General features: G+C 44.0%; 1 long non-coding RNA gene across 2 annotated transcripts in view, besides 1 other annotated feature; it reads right to left on the reverse strand.

The window, feature by feature from the left end:
- Nucleotides 1–19,235, reverse strand: part of LINC00299 (long intergenic non-protein coding RNA 299) — a 320,649-nt gene that overhangs the window by 275,291 nt on the left and 26,123 nt on the right. The window contains exons 3-7 of one of the 2 annotated variants that reach the window (NR_034135.1): nt 16,615–16,732; nt 13,779–13,882; nt 11,713–11,818; nt 11,551–11,625; nt 4,277–4,497 (exon numbers count right to left, since the gene is read on the reverse strand). This is a non-coding gene — a long non-coding RNA (long intergenic non-protein coding RNA 299). Of the gene's footprint in view, nt 1–4,276; nt 4,498–11,550; nt 11,626–11,712; nt 11,819–13,778; nt 14,173–16,614; nt 16,733–19,235 lie in introns of both variants that reach the window. The other variant, NR_152741.1, reaches the window with a different exon arrangement.
- Nucleotides 17,609–18,165: an enhancer, noted in NCBI's record as "NANOG hESC enhancer chr2:8440800-8441356 (GRCh37/hg19 assembly coordinates)". NCBI's record gives its function as "activates a minimal SCP1, AML or CMV promoter by ChIP-STARR-seq in primed H9 embryonic stem cells {active_cell/tissue: H9 hESC(primed)}" and the evidence as "EXISTENCE:reporter gene assay evidence [ECO:0000049][PMID:30033119]".

Genomic DNA, 19,235 nt, shown 5'->3' on the forward strand with positions numbered 1-19,235 from the left:
TTCAACAATGACCTGCTAATGGTTTTGCATTTTTCTCAAGTATTATAACCCATCTTTGTCCCCCTTATCTCCTAATGAAATCAGTAAATTGAGGTGACTGCAAGAGGGAGCGCAAAGGAAACACCAGAGCCAAGGGTGCCGCGAGGCTCTACTAAGCCACAAACCATCATCTTGAGGCGATTATCAGACCTTGACTTTTGCTTCGAGAAATAAAGTTGCAGATATCCTGGCGAAACAAAATTTCTTTCCGTTTTACTTAAAAAAGAAGAATGCAGCCCATATAGTTGTGATTTTGCTAACACTGAGAAAGCTGTCTCTCACTGCACTCTCCATTTGTGTGTCTTTTCCGCAGCCTATAGTTACAGCATGTGGCATTTCAACCTTCTGTCCCTTTTTTTTTTTTTTTTTTTGACTCTCGCTCTGTTATCCAGGCTGGAGTGCAGTGGCGCAATCTCAGCTCACTGCAACCTCCACCTCCCTGATTCAAGCAATTCCCCTGCCTCAGCCTCCCGAGTAGCTGGGATTACAGGTGCATGCCACCATGCCTGGCTAATTTTTTTGTATTTTAAGTAGAGAAGAAGTTTCACCATGTTGGCCAGACTGATCTCGAACTCCTGACCTCAGGCAATCCACCCGCCTTGGCCTCCCAAAGTGCTGAGATTACAGGTGTGAGCCACCGTGCCCAGCCCCTTCTATCCCCTTTCTAAAGTGTGTTCATAGCCATCAATACGTAGGGGCGCAATTCAGATTTATTCCCACAATTTGCCTTGATCCTTTTTAAAGGTGGGTGATTTGGCCCTGCATTCATCTTTCTCTCCAAGTTGCAAAAATCATTTTATATATTTAGTTACTTATTTCTTACCAATCCTCCCTAGCTCTGGGACACATCCCATCAGTCACCACCAGCCACTACCTTCGGCTTAAATTACTTTCAAGGCTTCTCATTACTAGTAGGAATCAACCACAGCAGCTAAGGTCCTTAAAATGGTCCCCACCTACTTCACCCAGAGTCCCTCCCCTTCGGTGCCCTGGCTTCAGCCAGGCTGGTCCGCTCTCATCTCTTCTAACACATGGCTTTGCATACACTCGTCCCTCCTAGAGCACTTTCACCCCGGCCTGCATGTCTCAGGGGTCCCTAGTCTGCCTCTGGACTTCCCTCCAACTGTCCCTTTCCCAGGGATCCTTCCTGGTCTCCCTCCCTAAGTTAACTCTCCTTCTTACACTGCTTCCCAGCACTGCACACCCTTTCTCTCACATCAGCTATCGCAGCTATGGTTTTACATTTATTTCAGTGGTTATTTGATTAGAGTCTATCTTCTTCCCTGGATAGTAAGTTTCATGAGAGCCAAGGCTAGATAGCCCTAGGATCTAGCACAGAAACCAGCACGTAATAAACATGCCTCATATATTCCATGGATGAAAAATACAGGCACCCAGCCTAGTTAAAGGACATGAAGAGTCTGATGCTATTTTCTCAAATACAGTCCTATTCCACATGATGCACAGACAGAAGTCAGATCGCAGAATTACTGTGACTCAGCTGCAGTCATTCCCAATCAAAGTGGCCCTTTGTTCCAAGTCTCAGGTCCCCTAGGTGTCAGATTATCCCACATAAGGCCAGGTTGAATCAGCCTTTGTCAGGAGAAAAGGGTCGTATAGTACAGACATATCCACAGTTGCCTGCCCAGTGGGCCATGAAGCCTCCCCAAAATAAGAAACAATGAACTGAGCAGGCACCCCAAAAGTCATTCAACTGCTTCCTATCATTTAGCTACACGGGAAACACAACACAACACAACACAACACAACACACACCCATAACATTATCCCATGCATTCAGAAATATCCCTGCCTAACACAATACACTGATGGAAACACATTCCCCTTCCCAACGAAGACAGGTCAAGTTGATCCCAAGGCAAGGCCACGCCACCGCCACTCCAACGTCAGAACTCATCAGAGTCCAAGGTCCCTGGTGACCCTTCTGGGTTTCTCTTACGATGATGCCTTGTGAGCTAAACAGTAAAGGTAACCACACAAACACTCTTGGATTTCAAGGGGGAGGAAAAGAAAGAGAAATGAGAACAAATATCTCCCCCTACAGGCTGGACCTCTAGAGAGGAGCTAGAGGAACTGAGGAATCCAGGAGAGGATTGGATGCTCATGAGGGGCACTGGTCTGGAGGCCAGCGTCTCAGCACATGGGGAGAGGGGAGCCACTCAGCATACCAGGAAAACATTTGAAAATCCTGATTTGACTGCCCCAGGATGACCCTCACTTCCCCCTTCCACGCCCACCTCTCCCCAGCACTGTGTGTGGTATGTTCCAGGCCAGCCCTTCTCAGGCTCACATGTGTGGCTGGAGTCTCCAGGGATGGGCTGCTGGCTTGTTTACATGAAGCCGGGCCTCCAAAGGTTTGAGATTCCACACTTCTTTTTTTTTTTTTTTTTTTTTTGAGACTGAGTTTCACTCTTGTTGCCCAGGCTGGAGTGCAATGGTGCGATCTTGGCTCACCACAACCTCCACCTCCCGGGTTCAAGCGATTCTCCTGCCTCAGCCTCCCGAGTAGCTGGGATCACAGGCATGCACCCCCACACCTGGCTAATTTCATATTTTTTAGTACAGATGGGGTTTCTCCATGTTGGTCAGGCTGGTCTCAAACTCCCGACCTCAGGTGATCCGCCCGCCTCAGCCTCCCAAAGTGCCGGGATTACAGGCATGAGCCACTGCGCTTAGCCGAGATTCCACTCTTCTAATGAGCTCCCAGGTGGTGTCTCTGCCCTGGCCCAAGGACCACACTTTGAATACAAGGTTCTAGGATTCATTAGACATTCGCATAGCTCTAAGTCAGGCTAAAAGTCAGCGAATAACTAACTGGCTACCAGTCCTGTTGGTTGGCTGTCTAGACTATGTAAGGCATAAATCCACAGACTTCACCCTGTCCTTGATGACTTGCATGAAATGGCTTTGACCTCCCTCCTGCATGCCCAGGGAACAGCTCCAAGTCCTCCCCAGATGCCTTTTAATTCGAGTCACTGATATTGCCAGGGGTGGCTCTTGCCCACACCTCACCTCATCTGACCCCACTGGGGACTGTCGTTCCTCTGCCTCACAACAAACCCAGGGCAGCTCCCAGCTGACCTGTCCCCAAACATCATCACACCAACGAATGCTAAGGTTTTGTTCGCAGCACACTTGGCCAAAGATTTGGAGTAAAGGGGTTTTGTTACATCAGGGGCCTTCACTGCCAGGGACATGTACCTTGACTTTTAGATGCCCCTGTTCTCAAGAATCCCATCAGCTCTGTAAGAAAAGATGTTTGCTCACCTCCACAGGCCTCTCCTTCCCATCTCCACCCTCAATTACTCATTTCTTCATGCAAAATGGGGTACTTTTATCTCCATTTATGGTTTTCTTCCAAACTATGCCTTTCATCCCAAGGAGGAATTTTGCTTAAAAAGAAAACAGCATATACTCCAAAGAGAATTTACACTGTTCTCTTAACCACAACACATTGCAGTTGAGGTCTGCATTAAAACTTTTTGTTTTCCTCTGCACAACACCTGGGTTAGACTGAGCCATGGAGAATCACTTATTCCACCGAGTCTTAGCAGCTGGCCTGGGACAGCTACAGGGGTTCACACAATCCACGGCACACCATGACCTTCCTACCTGCTTTCCCAGAAATCGACTTTCATGATCATTTCAACATTAGTCCCTTGTAGCAAAATTAGAGCAGCAAGTCTGATGAATTGAAGGGAAAAGAATAATCCAGGCCATTCATTAATTGGAATGATCCATGCCACCCCATCTTTCAACAGCATGGATAACTGAAAGTTGACTGTACTGTTAAATTAACATCAATGTTAAGCTTTCACTGTAATAAAACCTGCATTACATTATTCTTTAGGGCCAAGGCATAAATCCCTTGGTGGCTCATGAGTCAACACAACCAAGCCCAGGAGCTGGCTTTCGTACGCATGCAGCCAGCCCATGGAGGAGCCACACTAGCAGTCCTTATAACAAGAAGCCATCGTATTTTTATTCCAAAAGTCCTGGACCAAAAATCAGAAAGCAAAGCAGAAAGCATCTGAAAAGAAATGTACCATTTGGTTTGCCTCCAAACACACTTGTAAAGACACACGCCCTTCTGTTTCTGTATTTTCCCCTTCAGATTTATGACGTACACAAACAGCGAGAAGACAAACGTCCCCATTAAAACAAATTAATCCTGTAATAACAAAAATTATAATAAAACAATTGAGAGGAAGCTCACAGGTAGCAGGTATCCTCCAGGTGCTGGATAACCCTCCATGATGGCAGGTGTCCTGGAACATTACAGCCGTCGGAAAATAAAACTTGAGAGGGGTGGGTGCAGAGAGTCCTGGTTCATGTGCGTCTCCACAAGGATGGATGCTTGCTACTCCAAGTGTATCTGGACTCTGTGCCTGATCATGATGTGCAACTCGAAAATGCGTTTCCTTTTAGTTTTTTTCCCTTTGAACAAACAAAACCGGAACATAGGCATTAATGCAATTGAGCCCCTTTATAAGAATCCCAGCTGCCAAATGAGAATGGAACATTGTCAGAATGACAGGAATCGGGCCCAGGAAGAACTGGGGCCCTGAAGCAAGGGGGCAGCTCAAAGGTGGCACTCCTGACACAAGGACACCATGCCACAGTTGCACCAGCAAATGCACTTTAGAGGGAGAGGAGAAGAAGAGCAGGGAGAGAGCAGAGAGATCATCCCAGAGTATGGAAAACTCACAGGATTTGACCCCAACCGAAGGAGCAAGTATAGCCTAACCAGGACTTGAGTCTCAGAACACGTTTTGCAAAATGAGTGATATGGCATGGCTCAGTCCCTGCCTGATCAGGAGCAGAGACTGTGCAGAGGGGGAGCTGCTGTGAGAAGTCACGGTCGGAGTGTGGATGGAAGCACCCCTCGGTCTAACTGTCCTCAGCCATGAAGCTAAGCTGCTGGCTTTCCTCCCTAGTCCTCACCACCCCCAAGGCAAGGGGGACGTATCCCATTTGGAGAGTGTTTCTAAGGGATATTAGTGCCCAATCTCATTCAATCTATGCAAAAGCTGCAGGTGGGGCTGGGTGGTGGCGTGGTCACCCCTACTTTACAGCCAAGCACACACTACAAATAGGAGTAGTTACAGCAGAGAGATGCCTCCTATTCAGGTCTTCTAAACCCCAAACACACAGCAACCAGTCCCTTCAGCTGATTATGATATCACCAAGACCTACACACCCAGAAAGCTTGTACAATTTCCATGAAAGAAAAGAAACAACAAGAGAGCACCCTTTATAGTTTCCACATGATGGTCAGTAGACATTGGAACTAATTCAACAAATCTTGAAACATTAGAGGAAAGCTCTTTGCCCTTTACTCAGCGTTTTGATGATAAAATGCAAAATCAACATCGATTAACTAAATATTATGTTAACTTTATGCTGCAAATAATCACTGACTTCTGTTCTTATCTTTGTTTCTAAGCAAAGGATAATGCTAATTATCATTATTATTATTATTAATGAGAATTGAGTGCTTTGTATTCACAAAGATACTTGGTCAATAGCTTTTCAAGGATTCTTTTAAAGGAAAAAACAAAAGCAAAAATCTTGGAACTGTGTTTCAAACGTTAAAGCTAAAGTAAGATATTTAAGATATACAACCAATTTATTTCTACTTTGACTTATGATTTTTCCTAGGTATACAGGGATGGTTCAATATAAAAAATATGTATCAGTGGAATTCACCACATTAACAGATTTAAGGGAAAAAGTTATAAGGTTAGCTCATTCGATGCAGAAAAAGCATTCAATAAATTTCAAAATTCCTTTAAGATTAAGAAAAAAAGCTTCTGAGCAATATATAAGAATTTCTTCAGCTACGGATATAGTATTTAGCCAAACTTTCCACAATATCATCCTAAATAGTGCAAACTGACCTCCTTCCCATCAATATCAGTAACAAAGTATATTAGTCCATTCTCAGGCTGCTGATAAAGACATACCTAAGACTGGGCACTTTATTTAAAAAAAAAAAAAAAGAGGTTTAATGGTCTCACAAATCCACATGTCTGGGGAGGCCTCACTATCATGGCAGAAGGTGAAAGGCACATCTCACATGGCGTCAAGCAAGAGAGAATGAGAGCCAGGCAAAAGGGGTTTCCCCTTATAAAACCATCAGATCTCATGAGACGTATTCACTACCACAAGAACAGTATGGGGGAAACCATCCCCGTGATTCAATTATCTCCCTCCTTCCTCCCACAACATGTAGGAGTTACAGAAGCTACAATTCAAGATGACATTTGGGTGGGGACACAGCCCAACCATGTCACAAAGCAATAGTCCCTACAGATGCCACTGCTACTCACGAGATGGGTGGGAAACATTGACCCTAAAGCCAAACTATCAGGATTTCAAACCTAGCTGGGCTCTTACTATTGTGTCATCTCAGGCAAGATTTAAATTCTGTGCACCTCAGTTGCTTACTGGCAGACTCTCTCCACACCAAACTTCAGTCAAGCTCCTCTGAGCCCTCTTTTCAATTGAGCCTCATCCTTGGGCCCTGCCTTTAGCCCACCTCTTCCAGTCATAGCAAGAATTCCACTAAGTCAGTTTATTGGGAATCCTTGCCTTGATATCTGATCACCCTCCATATGTGATCAGTTCCTCATCTTCCACCTGTGATGTCTGAGTCTTCCACCTACCTTCAGCAAGAATCCCCTACCCTCGATGTCTCCTCTTAGTCATTTTCTATCTACGCTCCACCCCACTCCCACTCTGCTCCTTGGCCATAAAGCCCCAAATGTCTTGCTGTATTCACGGTTGAGCCCTATCTCTCTCCCAATTGCCACAGTCTTGACACCTATTTGTATCACCCCAAATAAAGCCTTCTTTACTGTTTTAACAAATGTCTGAATTATTTTTTTCTTTACCACTACCAATAAAATAGGAATAATAATACAACATACCTCATAGAGTTGTCACAAGGATGAAAAGAGTTAATGCATGCAAAGTGTTGAGAAGAGTATCTAGCACTTAAAAAAACCTCTATAAACATTAATAATTATTATCGCACAGTTATACATAAAAATATAAATGAGTGGAAAGCAATCGAGAAAAATGTTAGAAAAAGTATGAGAAAACCACAAATAAATTATTAAATATAAAGTTGCTGGAACACAAAACCAGTTTTAAAAATCAATAGCAGTAATAGGCTGGGCGCAGTGGCTCACACCTGTAATCCCAGCACTTTAGGAGGCTGAGGCAGGTGATCACTGAGATCAGGAGTTCGAGACCAGCCTGACCAACAGAAAAATCCCATCTCTACTAAAAATACAAAATTAGCCAGGTGTGGTGGTGCATGCCTGTAGTCCCAGCTACTCGGGAAGCTGAGGCAGGAGAATCACTTGAACCCAGGAGGTGGAGGTTGTGGTGAGCTGAGATCACACCATTGCACTCCAGCCTGGGCAATAAGAGCACAACTCTCTCTCAAAAACAAAACAAAACAAAACAAAAAATCAATAGCAGTAAAAAACAAACACTATTTTTAAGTTAAACAAAATAAAATAATGTTTAAGTAACAACATAAAAATTCTTCAGTAGCAACAAACTATAAGTTGCCTGGAAATAACCTAACAAAAAATGGGTAAGACATTTATGAGGAACAATAGAGAGCATTTTTCAAACGCATGAAGACAAAGTAAGTTGATAAGTGTACGTTTACATGTGGAAAGACTCAATAATCTATGCAATTCTCTCAAAATAATCTATAAATTCAATACTATTGCAATCAAAATCTTAATATTGCTTTTCTCAGCGCAAGCAGAACCATAGCAATGTTTGCTACGTTTACTCTCAGGTATCAAGATTACTATAAAGCTATAGTACCTGAATTGCTCATCATTGATATAGATATGGTATACTAAACCAATGATACAAAATAGAGAACCCCAAAGCAGACTTACCTAAAGTAAAAAGTATAATACTTTAAATGAGATAGTTAACATTCACGGAGTATTAGTGCCAGGTTCTGCATGAAGGGATCAAAGTTCAGTATTGCTCGTTTAATACTCAAAAAGTAGTTACTCATAGTTTCTCCTTTTACAAGCGCAGGGAACTGGGGCAGAGATGCAGAGAGTGTGTGTAAGCAGTCAAAGATGGCACACTCACCTCCTCATCAGTCATGGAGCCGGATTTTGGAGCCAGGCTGTATGCCTCCATGACCGCTGCTGTACTATGTCTTTTAGAAACATGGTACTTTATGGAAGCAGCCTTAAAATTCAGTGGGTAAAAACTAGAATATTCATTAAATTGTGATGAACAATTGGCTAACCATATCTAACACACACACACACACATTCCAGAATGATTAGACCTCAATTTAGAAAGTAAAATTTTAGAAGATTTAATTGAATGCCTTCATAGAGTTGGGAAGAGCTTTTCTAAACAAGTTAACATTTTAGAAAAAGATTGATAAACTTAGCTACATTAAAATTTCAAATTTTTCTACTGTCTCTCACACTTGTGCACGAAGATTTAGGCACATAGATGTTCCCTGCAGTGAATTTTACCATTAAATGCCTAACAACAGGAAAATGATTAACTACGTTGTCCTATGTTTATATAATGATAGTTATTAAAGTGAATGAAGCCAATCTATGTACATTAACATGTATACACTTCAAATATAATTCTAAAAACATCAAGTGCCAGAAACCTCGAATACAAAACACTTATGTAAAGTGTAAAAACATATCACACAATGCCATCTATCCTTGGTGAGAGCTGGGGACAGGATTAAGGAGGAAAAAGTAGAAGACTTCACAAGCATGTGATCATTTCTTTGTTTTAAAAGATAATGATATAAAATAAAATGTTAACAACATTAAATCTAGGTGATAAATACCTGGATGCTCACTTTATCACTCTCTGTATATTTTGGAAGGTTTTAAATTATTGCTAATAAAAGTAGTTACTAAAACTTAGCTCTTGGGGTCAGGCAGGGTGACTCATACCTGTAATCCCAGTACTTTGGGAGGCCAATGTGGGTGGATCACTTGAAGCCAGGAGTTTGAGACCAGCACTGCCAACATGGTGAAACCCCATCTCTACTATAAACACAAAAAATAGCTGCGCGTGGTGGTGGGCACCTGTAATCCCAGCTACTCAGGAGGCTGAGGTAGGAGAATTGCATGAACCTGGGAGGCAGAAGTTGCAGTGAGCTGAGATCGTGCCACTGCACTCCAGCCTGGGTGACAGAGCAAGATTCCATCTCAAAACAACAACAACAACGACAAAAACCTCAATCTTGGGTGAAAGGTAGACCTCAGATGGGAAAAGCAGAAACAAAGAGAGCAGTTGAGTGGCTGCTTCTCAAGCCCAGGCAGGAGGTGGAGGAAGTGTGGAATCAGTGATGGCAGCTGAGGTACTTTGCTCATAGATTAGATGCAGGAGGTAGATAAAGTAAATTAGAATAATCCAGAAGATTCCTAGTTTTTTCTTCAGGTAACAAAGTGGATGGTGGAGCCATTAACAGAGATAGGAAGGGTGCAGAAAAACAGGTTTGGGGGAGAAATTCAGAGGCTTTTGTAGATATTTTGAGTTTGAGATCGTTATTAAACATCCACGTGAATTGTTGGGTAGACAATGCACACAGGTGGATACAAATACAAACCTGGAACTCAGGGGCGATGTCCGGAGTGGAGATAGAATTTGAAAAACCCCAGCTCAAAGAATGCATTTACAGCCACGGTCCCTGGTGAGCTCTTCTCCTCAGAGAGTGTGGATGGAGAAGAGAAGTGAGCAGAGAACAAAATTTGGGGTGCTCCAAAATTAAGAGGTGAATTTAGGGAGAGGGATTGTGGCCTGCTGAATAATGACCCCTCCAAGGCATGTCCACGTCCTCATCCCCAGCACCTGTGAATCATTCTCTTATGTGGGAAAACGGACCTTGCAGATGAGCTCAGGATGCTGCAATGGGGAGGATTATCCTGGATCACCTGGGTGGGTGCCTGTTTGACAAGGGCCCTTAGAAGAGGAGGGAGAAGAGTTCAAAGCAGGGAAAGAAGATGTAAGACAGAAGCAGAGGCCAAAGAGGAGAGAAGACACTAGGCTCTTAGCTTTGAAGATAGAGGAAGAGGTCACAAGCCAAGGACTGCAGGTGGCCTCTAGGATCTGGAAAAAGCAAGGAAGGAATTTCTCCCTTATAACCACCAGCAGGAACACAGACAGCCCTGCCACCCCCTTGGTGTTAGCCCAGAAAGATCCTTGTTGAACTTCTAACCTACAAAAGGGTAAAATATCAAATTCACATTGTTTTAAGCCACTAAGTTTGTGGTGATTTTTCACAGCGGAATAGGAAATTAATGCAGGGAGTCACTATGAGAGAAAGAGTGGCCAGGGAACCCGGGCAGAACAGCACCCATAAGATTGTTTATGTCCCACAAATCCATGGGGGAAACTATTTCTAGAAGAAAGGAGCAGAGCTCTGTGCCAGACTTTGCTGAAAGATACCACTGATGTAGAGAATGAACTTTGCACAGGATTTGTTAAGGTAGAGGTAACCTTCACAGAGCAGCTTCATGAAGTATAGGCTTCCAACCTGCATTGATTGGAGAGGATTAGAGAGTGAGGCATCTCAGCAGAGGTCTCCTGTAAGGAGCTTGAGAGGCACAGGAGGTCAAACAAGGGTCCTGGGTTTACTTGAGAGGAGTTTGAATGCTGATGGGAACGTGCAGTAGAAACTGAAGAACAGGTCTTCATACAGAGGCAAAGCCAAGGAGTGCTAGGGGGATGGAGTGCAGGGCACACTCCAAACACTGGCCATGGAGAGAAGCTACAGGGGGATAGGTGGGAGTGGAGGCAGCTCCCACCCTTCATCTCTGAAGTTATGATGGGCCTTCAGATTTGTTCCAAGCTGAGACAAGGACTGGTCCTTTGCATTCCTGTATCAGCCAGGAATTGAACATGAGCCAACCTCCAGAAGGTGACTGACCCTTGAGTAAGGCAGTTCCCTATGGCTGAGGGCAATTCCCAGAGCAAAAGGCAAGCCACCCCCAGCTCCTGTCTGTCACAACTCAACAATGGATGTGTTGGCCCTGAAGAAAGATCTGGGGAGAGCACCGCAGTCTCCTCTATAGTCCATCCTCCTTTACATTCACTTGCTTCTTCTAATAAGTGTGCCCCATCAGGGAACAGCTCTGCCAGGATCATGGATGGACTGATTACCTGGGAAATTTACAAGAGAAGATTAGATGAATAAATTTCAACCACCACTGCTGCAATTGATCTCAAGTATGGAATGTGCGTAGGAAGATATGGGTGAAAAGATGAAGTCGTTACCTGGGTGCCTCTGTCTGCTTAGGGACATGAGATGGAGGAGAAAGGAAGGGAAGGGAAGGGGTTTAGGAAGTTGGAGGGGATCCAAGAAGTGAAGGTGTCATTTGGCAGAGCAGAAAAGTGTCCCACCATTTATCAGGTAGAAGACCAAGGACAAGTTACTTAACTGCAGAGTTTCCATTTCCTCACCTTCCTACCAGTCCCATTCTTCAATGGTACATTTCTTGAGTGCAGAATCCACTTCAAAACTGAAGCATCAATAGTCTAAGGTATAAGGACACTAAAATAAATCATGGGTTTTCTCTTATATTCCCTAGTAAAAAAACTTACAAATTCTCCCAAATATCATACCTTGTATTTTGAGGAAAACAAATCTTAAAGGGAAAGCCTGTTTCACAAACTTGAACATCAGGAAGATGGTCCCAAAGAATTAATGAGTTCAACAACTCAAGGTTCTCTGGAAAAAGTTCAAAACATTAAAACTTAGTTTTCAGTGTAATGGTTATTAAAAGTCAACACGAAGCTTTCTCATCAGCTATATAAAACCTGTTATCATTTCTTAGCCTTTGTGGAATGCAAATCTACATTGCTAACTGTGTGTTTCCAGAGGAAAAGTCTGCTATCACTGCCTCCCCATTTAATGAACTATTTTGTAACCATAAAAATGTGATTAGTTTATTTATATTTAATCAAAACACACTACAAAAACTTGATAAACTTACTCCTGAGAGCTTTGCATCATTGATGAAAAATTAGAAAAAAGTATTCAGCAACTTAATCTGATTTACCATCATAAATATTCAAATTTTACATATTTATTCCACAAAACAGTTGTTTAAGTGGCTTTAATTTATTTTCAATTTTATTGTCTCGACTGTATAATGCAAATCAATTGTTGAAATTGTTCGGAAACACCATCCAATAAATGTGAAACAGTCTCTCTCTCTCTCTCTCTCTCTCATAAAGTGAACTAAAATGAACATGATGGAGCCTCAGGATCCCATAGTGCATCATGCCAATTTCAAAGTGTATATTTGCACCATACCAATTAAATGAGTTCCCTGCATGTGCAGAGTGAGTAGATGCTAAAATTTCACCATTATCGAAATTTTCTTTGTTTAAAAAATTACCTCTAGGATTTCTGTTTCCAGTAACATGCAAGGCTGAGTATTTTGATCAAACACTAAAAATTCTGGATTAAAATGTTTTAAAATTCTTAAAAACATCTTTATTACATAATAAGGAATTATCAGGTCAAAATCTAAGGGAAAGTTGGTAACGAGGAATAAGAGCAATGAAATAATTTCTGCCTTAAAAGCAAATCTGGTGAACTTTCATTTTCACAGCCTTTATGAAAAAGCCCAGGTCCCATTAAAAAGTAGAGAGTCCAATAGGAGAGGCTTCTTCCATAAGTCTGGGATCCCAAAATATTATATCCTCATTGTAAGGGTATAGGGGAAGTAAATCCCACACCCAAAAACACACAGGGACCGCCTTGGTGCTGAGAAGACTGGACTAAGAGCAGGGGAAGGCTTTGAGAATTTACAATGAAAAATAGGCTTTCTACTCAAATCAATGCAAATTTGCATTAACTAAAACAAAACTCATAGCTTGAAGATTTTTGGTCTTTCTGGCAAATATTACTACCAATAAAATGAAATTAGCTCTATGAATATCAGACAAAAATAAATTTTAAAGCAAAACATCCTTAGGGATAAAGAGAGTCATAGCCACAGCATAATAATAAAAGAGTATTCACTGAGAAACTTTTGTCCTAAGTTTCTTTTTTTGTTTTGTTTTATTTTGTTTTTGTTTAGTGAGGAGTCATTATTACTCTTGCTCATGATCGTTTTTTCTAGAACCTGACATATTCCATAAAGCCTAATATCCTAGAGGCCTAGGATGTTCTAAAATCCAGCTTACGGGAAACAGCCTGAAATTGCATGAAAAAGGTTACTGAGAAGTGATATAGTTTAGCTGTGTCTCCACCCAAATCTTATCTTGAATTGTAGCTGGCATAATCCCCACACATCATAGGAGGATCTTAATGGGAGGTAACTGAATCATGGGGGCGGCTCTTTTTCATGCTGTTCTCATGACAGTGAATACATCTCAAGAGATCTGATGACTGTAGAGATCTGATGATTGTATGAAGGGGAATTCCCTGCACACCCCCTCTTCCCTGCCACCATGTAAGTAAGACGTGACTTTGCTCCTCATTCGCCTTCTGCCATGATGGTGAGGCCTCCCCAGCCATGTGGAACTGTGAGTCCATTAAACCTCTTTCCTTTATAAATTACCCAGTCTAGGGCATGTCTTTATTAGCAGCATGACAACAGATTAATACAAGAAGTGTTGTCAAAGAAACCTCTTTAAGGAAGGAAGGCAGAGTTGGGCAGAGAGAGAAGACAACTCACCATAAGGTTACAGGGGAGACCTCAGCCTTCTCCAAGCATCTCTGAAGCTGTGATGGGCCTTCAGATTTATTCCAAGCTGAGACGAGGGCCAGGCCTTCATATTCCTGTGTCAACCAGTAATTGAACATGGGCCTCCTCAAGGAGATGCCTTAACCCTGAATGAGTTCCCTACTGCTGAGAGCAATTCCCAGTGAGAGAGGTGAGCCACCCCTGACTGCTGTCTATCACAGCTGAGCAATGGATGTGTTGGCCCTGAAGAAAGATCTGGGGAAAGCATCAGAGATTTGGTCGTGAACTCCTCTACAGTTCACTCTGCTTTAAATTCACTTGCTTCTTCTAGGAAGTGTGCCGCATCAGGGAACAGCTGTCCCAGGATTTTGGTTGAACTGGTTACCTGGGAAATTTACAAGGGAAGATTAGTAGAATAAATTTCAACCCCCATTGCTGCAGTTGATCTCAAGGCTATAACCAATATTCATCATTGTCCTCCTCCACCCTTGGTTGGAGATTCCCCCCATCCTCAATTCGCACCTCTGCTGGTCTACGTAGCTTGCCTAGTGAGGCAGTCCAGACCATCATCTCTGAAGGGTCTGCACCTCTAGTTATCATTCCCTTTGCAAGCTATGACATCTGCACTTGGCCACTTGTAGTTAAAACTGAGCATGGGAGCACCAAGAGACACCCCGGTGCATCCTCTGAGCAACAATCAATTCTGCCCTGGCCCTGTGCATCCTCAGCCCCACTTCCCCTGGCCAGCTGTGCCCACCAGGATGATATCTCCCTTCCTTTATGGCTGATCCTTGTCATGAAGACTCTAAGTGACAAAGTGGCTGGTGTAAATTAAAGTTCGTTGGGACTTTTGCTGTGTCCTCCTGCAGAGGCATCCTTGCTCTGCAAGCCAGGATCTCTACACCCACAGAACCTCATATGTCAGAGAAAGAAAGCACACATTCCCTAAGTAGGTCACTGGGGGTGTTGCTAAGTACGGCTGCTCCTACTACTATTCTTTTCTTTGGTTCCAACCTATTTGGGACACAGCAGCATTGACATAGTATGTGCACTGTCCTGGAGGACAGTGGCCCATCCTCATAGGATATCATCTCTAATCTGGGCCCTTAACTATTTACAGAAGGCTCATCCACCTCTCTGTCAAGCTGGTAGCTTCTGGGTGACGTCATATGCGATGGGGAAACTGGAACCCATGGTTATGTGCCTACTGCTGAATTTCCATTGCGATAAAATGGGTTTCTTGACCTAAAGCACTGTTAGGTGGAACCCTGTGTTGGTGGATGGTGATGCTGGCGTAGGCCCTGCAGGCAGGAAAGATAAACTTATGCCAAGACTATCTGATGACCCAGGTCTAGAGGAGTCTCTATCCCCTGCATGGGAGAAAAGGTCCACAGAGCCAACTTGCTACCAAATAGTTGATTAGTCTCTTTAAAAGACTAATATGGGGGCTTGGTGTTGCTAGTCTCTGCTGCCAACAGATTAGACATTCAGCAGCAGCAGCATGTAGAAGAGCCACGGAGAGTGGGAGCCTGTGCTGATGGGCTCTTGCACAGCCTCATTTCTGCAACTAGGGCATCCATTGTTCCTGCACTGGGTGAGACAATGACAGGCTCACTAATGTCCATCAGCCAAGTCGCCTATGTGGTTGTTTCTGCCCCTTCCACAGTGAGTGCTCTTTGCTGGTGATCACCATGTGATACCCAGATCTTCACACCCTGCACTCACCCTGATAGGTCCATCCACAGGCCCCTGCCCCAGACTTCCTTGTCTCTTGTGTTCCAATCTTTCTCTTTTTCTAACATCCTACTGCCCATGAGCCTTGCCATAAATGTCACAGGGCACATATGCTTACCTCAGGCCACCTCACTTTCCCTACACAGTGGATGACCAGAGGACCTCCCCAGATGGAAGTGCATCAGAAGACTTCCCCTCACTGCTGTCTCCCAGGGCCATCCCTGAGTGTTGCTGCCTGCAATCCATATTAAATGCACATGCGCCAATGAATCAAGCCATCCTGGCCTGAGAGAAGGCGATCAGTGTAAGCAGATGGAGAAAGAGCAGAACAAGAGTGGTGGATGACCTGAGGGCCAAGCAAACCATTTGTGCAACTTCCTTGTTCTCTCTGGCCCTGCTCATGTTCAGTCCTAGATATCCTACTTCCCCTTCTGTTGGGCCCACCCAAGTGTATAAGCAATTGAGTCTGACAGAAACCAGCCCAGCCATGTGGTTACTCAACCTCGCATGATGAAATGCTTCATCTCTATCAGGGCTGAGAAGCACACCAGGAGCCACTTCTCAAATGATGTATTCTTTGGTGCTGATGGCATGGCCTTTCTCCAGAATGCCAGGAGTGCAGTGATTATCCCAGGGCTTGCCATGAGCTCCACATGATGTCCCTTCCATACCTCTGTGATGTATCATACGTGCATGCAGTGCCGTCAAGTTCTGCCACACCACACCATAAATGCCACAGAGTACCATACAGTTGTCCAGGTCGTATGGCACAAATGACAAGGTTACTTTCACCATCATCACCTGGACCTACTGAGAATGCTTTTCTTTCTGGGTCCCAATCAAAGATGACAGCCTTCCACACCACCCAGAAAATGGGTTCAAAATGTGTTCACGAGGGCCAACTATGCTTCCTCCAGAAGCTAAAGAGGCACCTCAGCACTGTGCTACCTCTTTAATGGGAGGAGGTATGAAGTGCAATCTCTCTTTACTTTGGAGGGACTCTCCTGTTAAGTCCCTAAAAACTCCACCAATGTGGAAGGCCTCTAAGTCTTCACAGGGCTGACCTCCCAGCCTCGCTATGCATGTGGCTTACCAAGACCTCCAATCCACTTGCCACTGCTTGCTTATCTGGTCCAATGAGCATGCCACATCGAAGTCGTGGGTAAAAGTGGTAGTCTATGGAATGTCCAGATAGGGCAGGTGACTTCAGACTAAAAAACAACAAAAGTTAGCATGCTTAAAAAATAACTGGATAATTCTAAGCTCCTCAGAGACAACTGAAATTTGCCTCATTTAAAAACTAAAGATGCACTTAAAAATATAAAATCAACAAACTGTATGATTTAGTCTCTACCATTATCAAAATATTATGATTTTATTTATTATATGAGGAGTCTGTTTTAGAAACAAATATGCAAAATAAACCATAAATAAGAATTTTTTTAAGCAACAAAGTGAGAGAGTTCACATGGACCAGGAATGGGACCATAAAAGTATTCTTTGTTTGTTCCAGGTCAATGTGAACTGCTTCTGATCCTCCTTTGTTCAAGGATGAAAAACAACAGTTCACCAAGTCAATAGCTTCCTTAGAGAGGCCAAAGACTCCGTTTAATCTTGTCTAGCAAAAGTTCCATGCTTGGCACAGCCACTGCAGGTGGAGATATGACTTGACTCGCTGTATGGATATTTACTGTCCCCCATCATGGCCCACCAGGTCTGTGTGAGGGGCAGCCACCATGGTGAATTAAATGAGGCTATGGCAAGGGCCACAGCCCCTGCATCCTTTAAGTCTTTGAGGGTAACACTCATGTCTGACATTCCTGCCATCAACGCAAGATGTGGTCATATCTGTGGTTTACGATCTCGTAGGGGAAGAGGCCTACCCCACTACAACATCTTTTATTCTAGGCCAAGGAGCCAACGTGCAGGTTCTGCCAATGAACCTGCCATTCACTCCTATTATACTAGAGAACCAGGGAAATGAAGAATGTGAGCTAGGCTTGAAAAAAGATTCCATTTATTACCTGCCTTCCTGGTCTCCAGTCTAATAGGAGGGCTATGGTAGCATCTTGGGTCTCCAAATATCAATGTTAGCTTAATAGTCCTTGAAAAGCTAAGGCATTCGTCTTTCCCCAGTGTGCATTTGCCTAAATAAATGTCCTAGATACCTTTAGGAGAGAAGTGGGGGAATTATTGCTGAATGCACCTGCTGTAATATGGTACCATCCTTCCTGGGAAGAGCTCTGCTCCTCCTTCAGTCAACAGATTCTGGGGCTGAGAATTAGCTCCATTCAAGAAACTAGGCAAAAGATCCTGACTTTTGTACCTCCTGGTAATCCACACGTGCTTTCTTGTAGAAATTAAGCATTGCCCTTGTTGGGTGCCCATCTATCTCCTTCCTAAAACAATGAGCCTATTGAGAGCTCTCTGCAGGGCAGGAACCCCCTGGGTGCCCCACTGATCTTGCCTCTCATTGTGATCATGGCCTCTGCCTTGCATCCAATGGTGAGCATACCACCTGGCCTTTGTAATCCCAGGATCCTGTCATCCCCGTTGCTACCAGGAGCCAGTTCTGTGATTTCATCATCTGTCATCAGCTCTGGCACATAGAGCACAGCCATTCCTGAGCTCAGTGACTTTGGGGCCACTCTCACCAGTGCATTCCTTTGTACATGGGAAGTCCTCCAGGCCATCTCGTGAAGATAGTCAGCACCATGGATGCTAGCATGTCCACTCCAGCATGGCCACTTCTCTGAGCCATTTGGTCCCTCTCTCCACCATCTGCCTGAGTGTGGGTCACTGCTTTCTCTAGGCTTTTAAGCAACATCTGAGTTGAGTCTTAGCATTCTCTCCAGGGATCTTGACCAAGATGCTTAATCCTGTACCACCTAGATTGCTCCCTCTCAATAAACTCAACCTTATTCGATTTTATATCTACACTCTTTGATCCAATCCCATGAATATATTCCCAGGTCCTCTGCAACATATTAGCTCGACCCCACAGCTCCTTCACCTGATATCCCCTTTTGGCCAAGCCAGCCCAGCTCATCCCCAGTCGGGCTGTGCTGAGATTTGGTTCTTGTTATTCTTTGGTTTTGCCAACAGGAAAGATGAGGGTAGATCCTGATGGGTCAAGCATTGTCTTGTATGATACCTACCTCATTTGAGACCTCTGTATGATCTTCAGAAAAGGAAAGTCTTGCTTTTTTTTTTTTTTTTTTTTGACCGAGTCTCGCTCTGTTGCCCAGGCTGGAGTGCAATGGTGCAATCTGGGCTCACTGCAAGCTCCGCCTCCCAGGTTCAAGCAGTCTACAATCTTCTACATGACATGAGAAATAGGCCATTTCTGCAGGCCCAGGGGACTCAGGGGCATGTAAGTGTTCAGGGTTCCCAACTGTCCAGGGCTCCCACCCTAAGTGTAAGGGTCTCACCTCTTTCCCATTAGAGCCCTGTGTCTGAAGGACTGAGAACTTAACCTACTCAGGGTTCAGACTGGTCCTCCAGCCAACCTGCCTTCCAGCTGCAGATCATCGGGGTTTTCTTAAATGCTGCCAAGGAAGTGCTCTGGCTTTCACAGTTTGCCTGAAACCAGTGATGAGTCATCCTGCGCCTCTGCCTCTCTCTCTTCAACACTCAGTAGCCTCAGCCTCAGCCACCCAAGCCCACAGGCCTTCTGGTTATCATTTCATCAGCCGGCCACCTGCTTCCTCTCCA

This window comes from Homo sapiens, chromosome 2 (genome assembly GCF_000001405.40).
Source record: "Homo sapiens chromosome 2, GRCh38.p14 Primary Assembly".
Classification (NCBI taxonomy): Eukaryota; Metazoa; Chordata; class Mammalia; order Primates; family Hominidae; genus Homo; species Homo sapiens.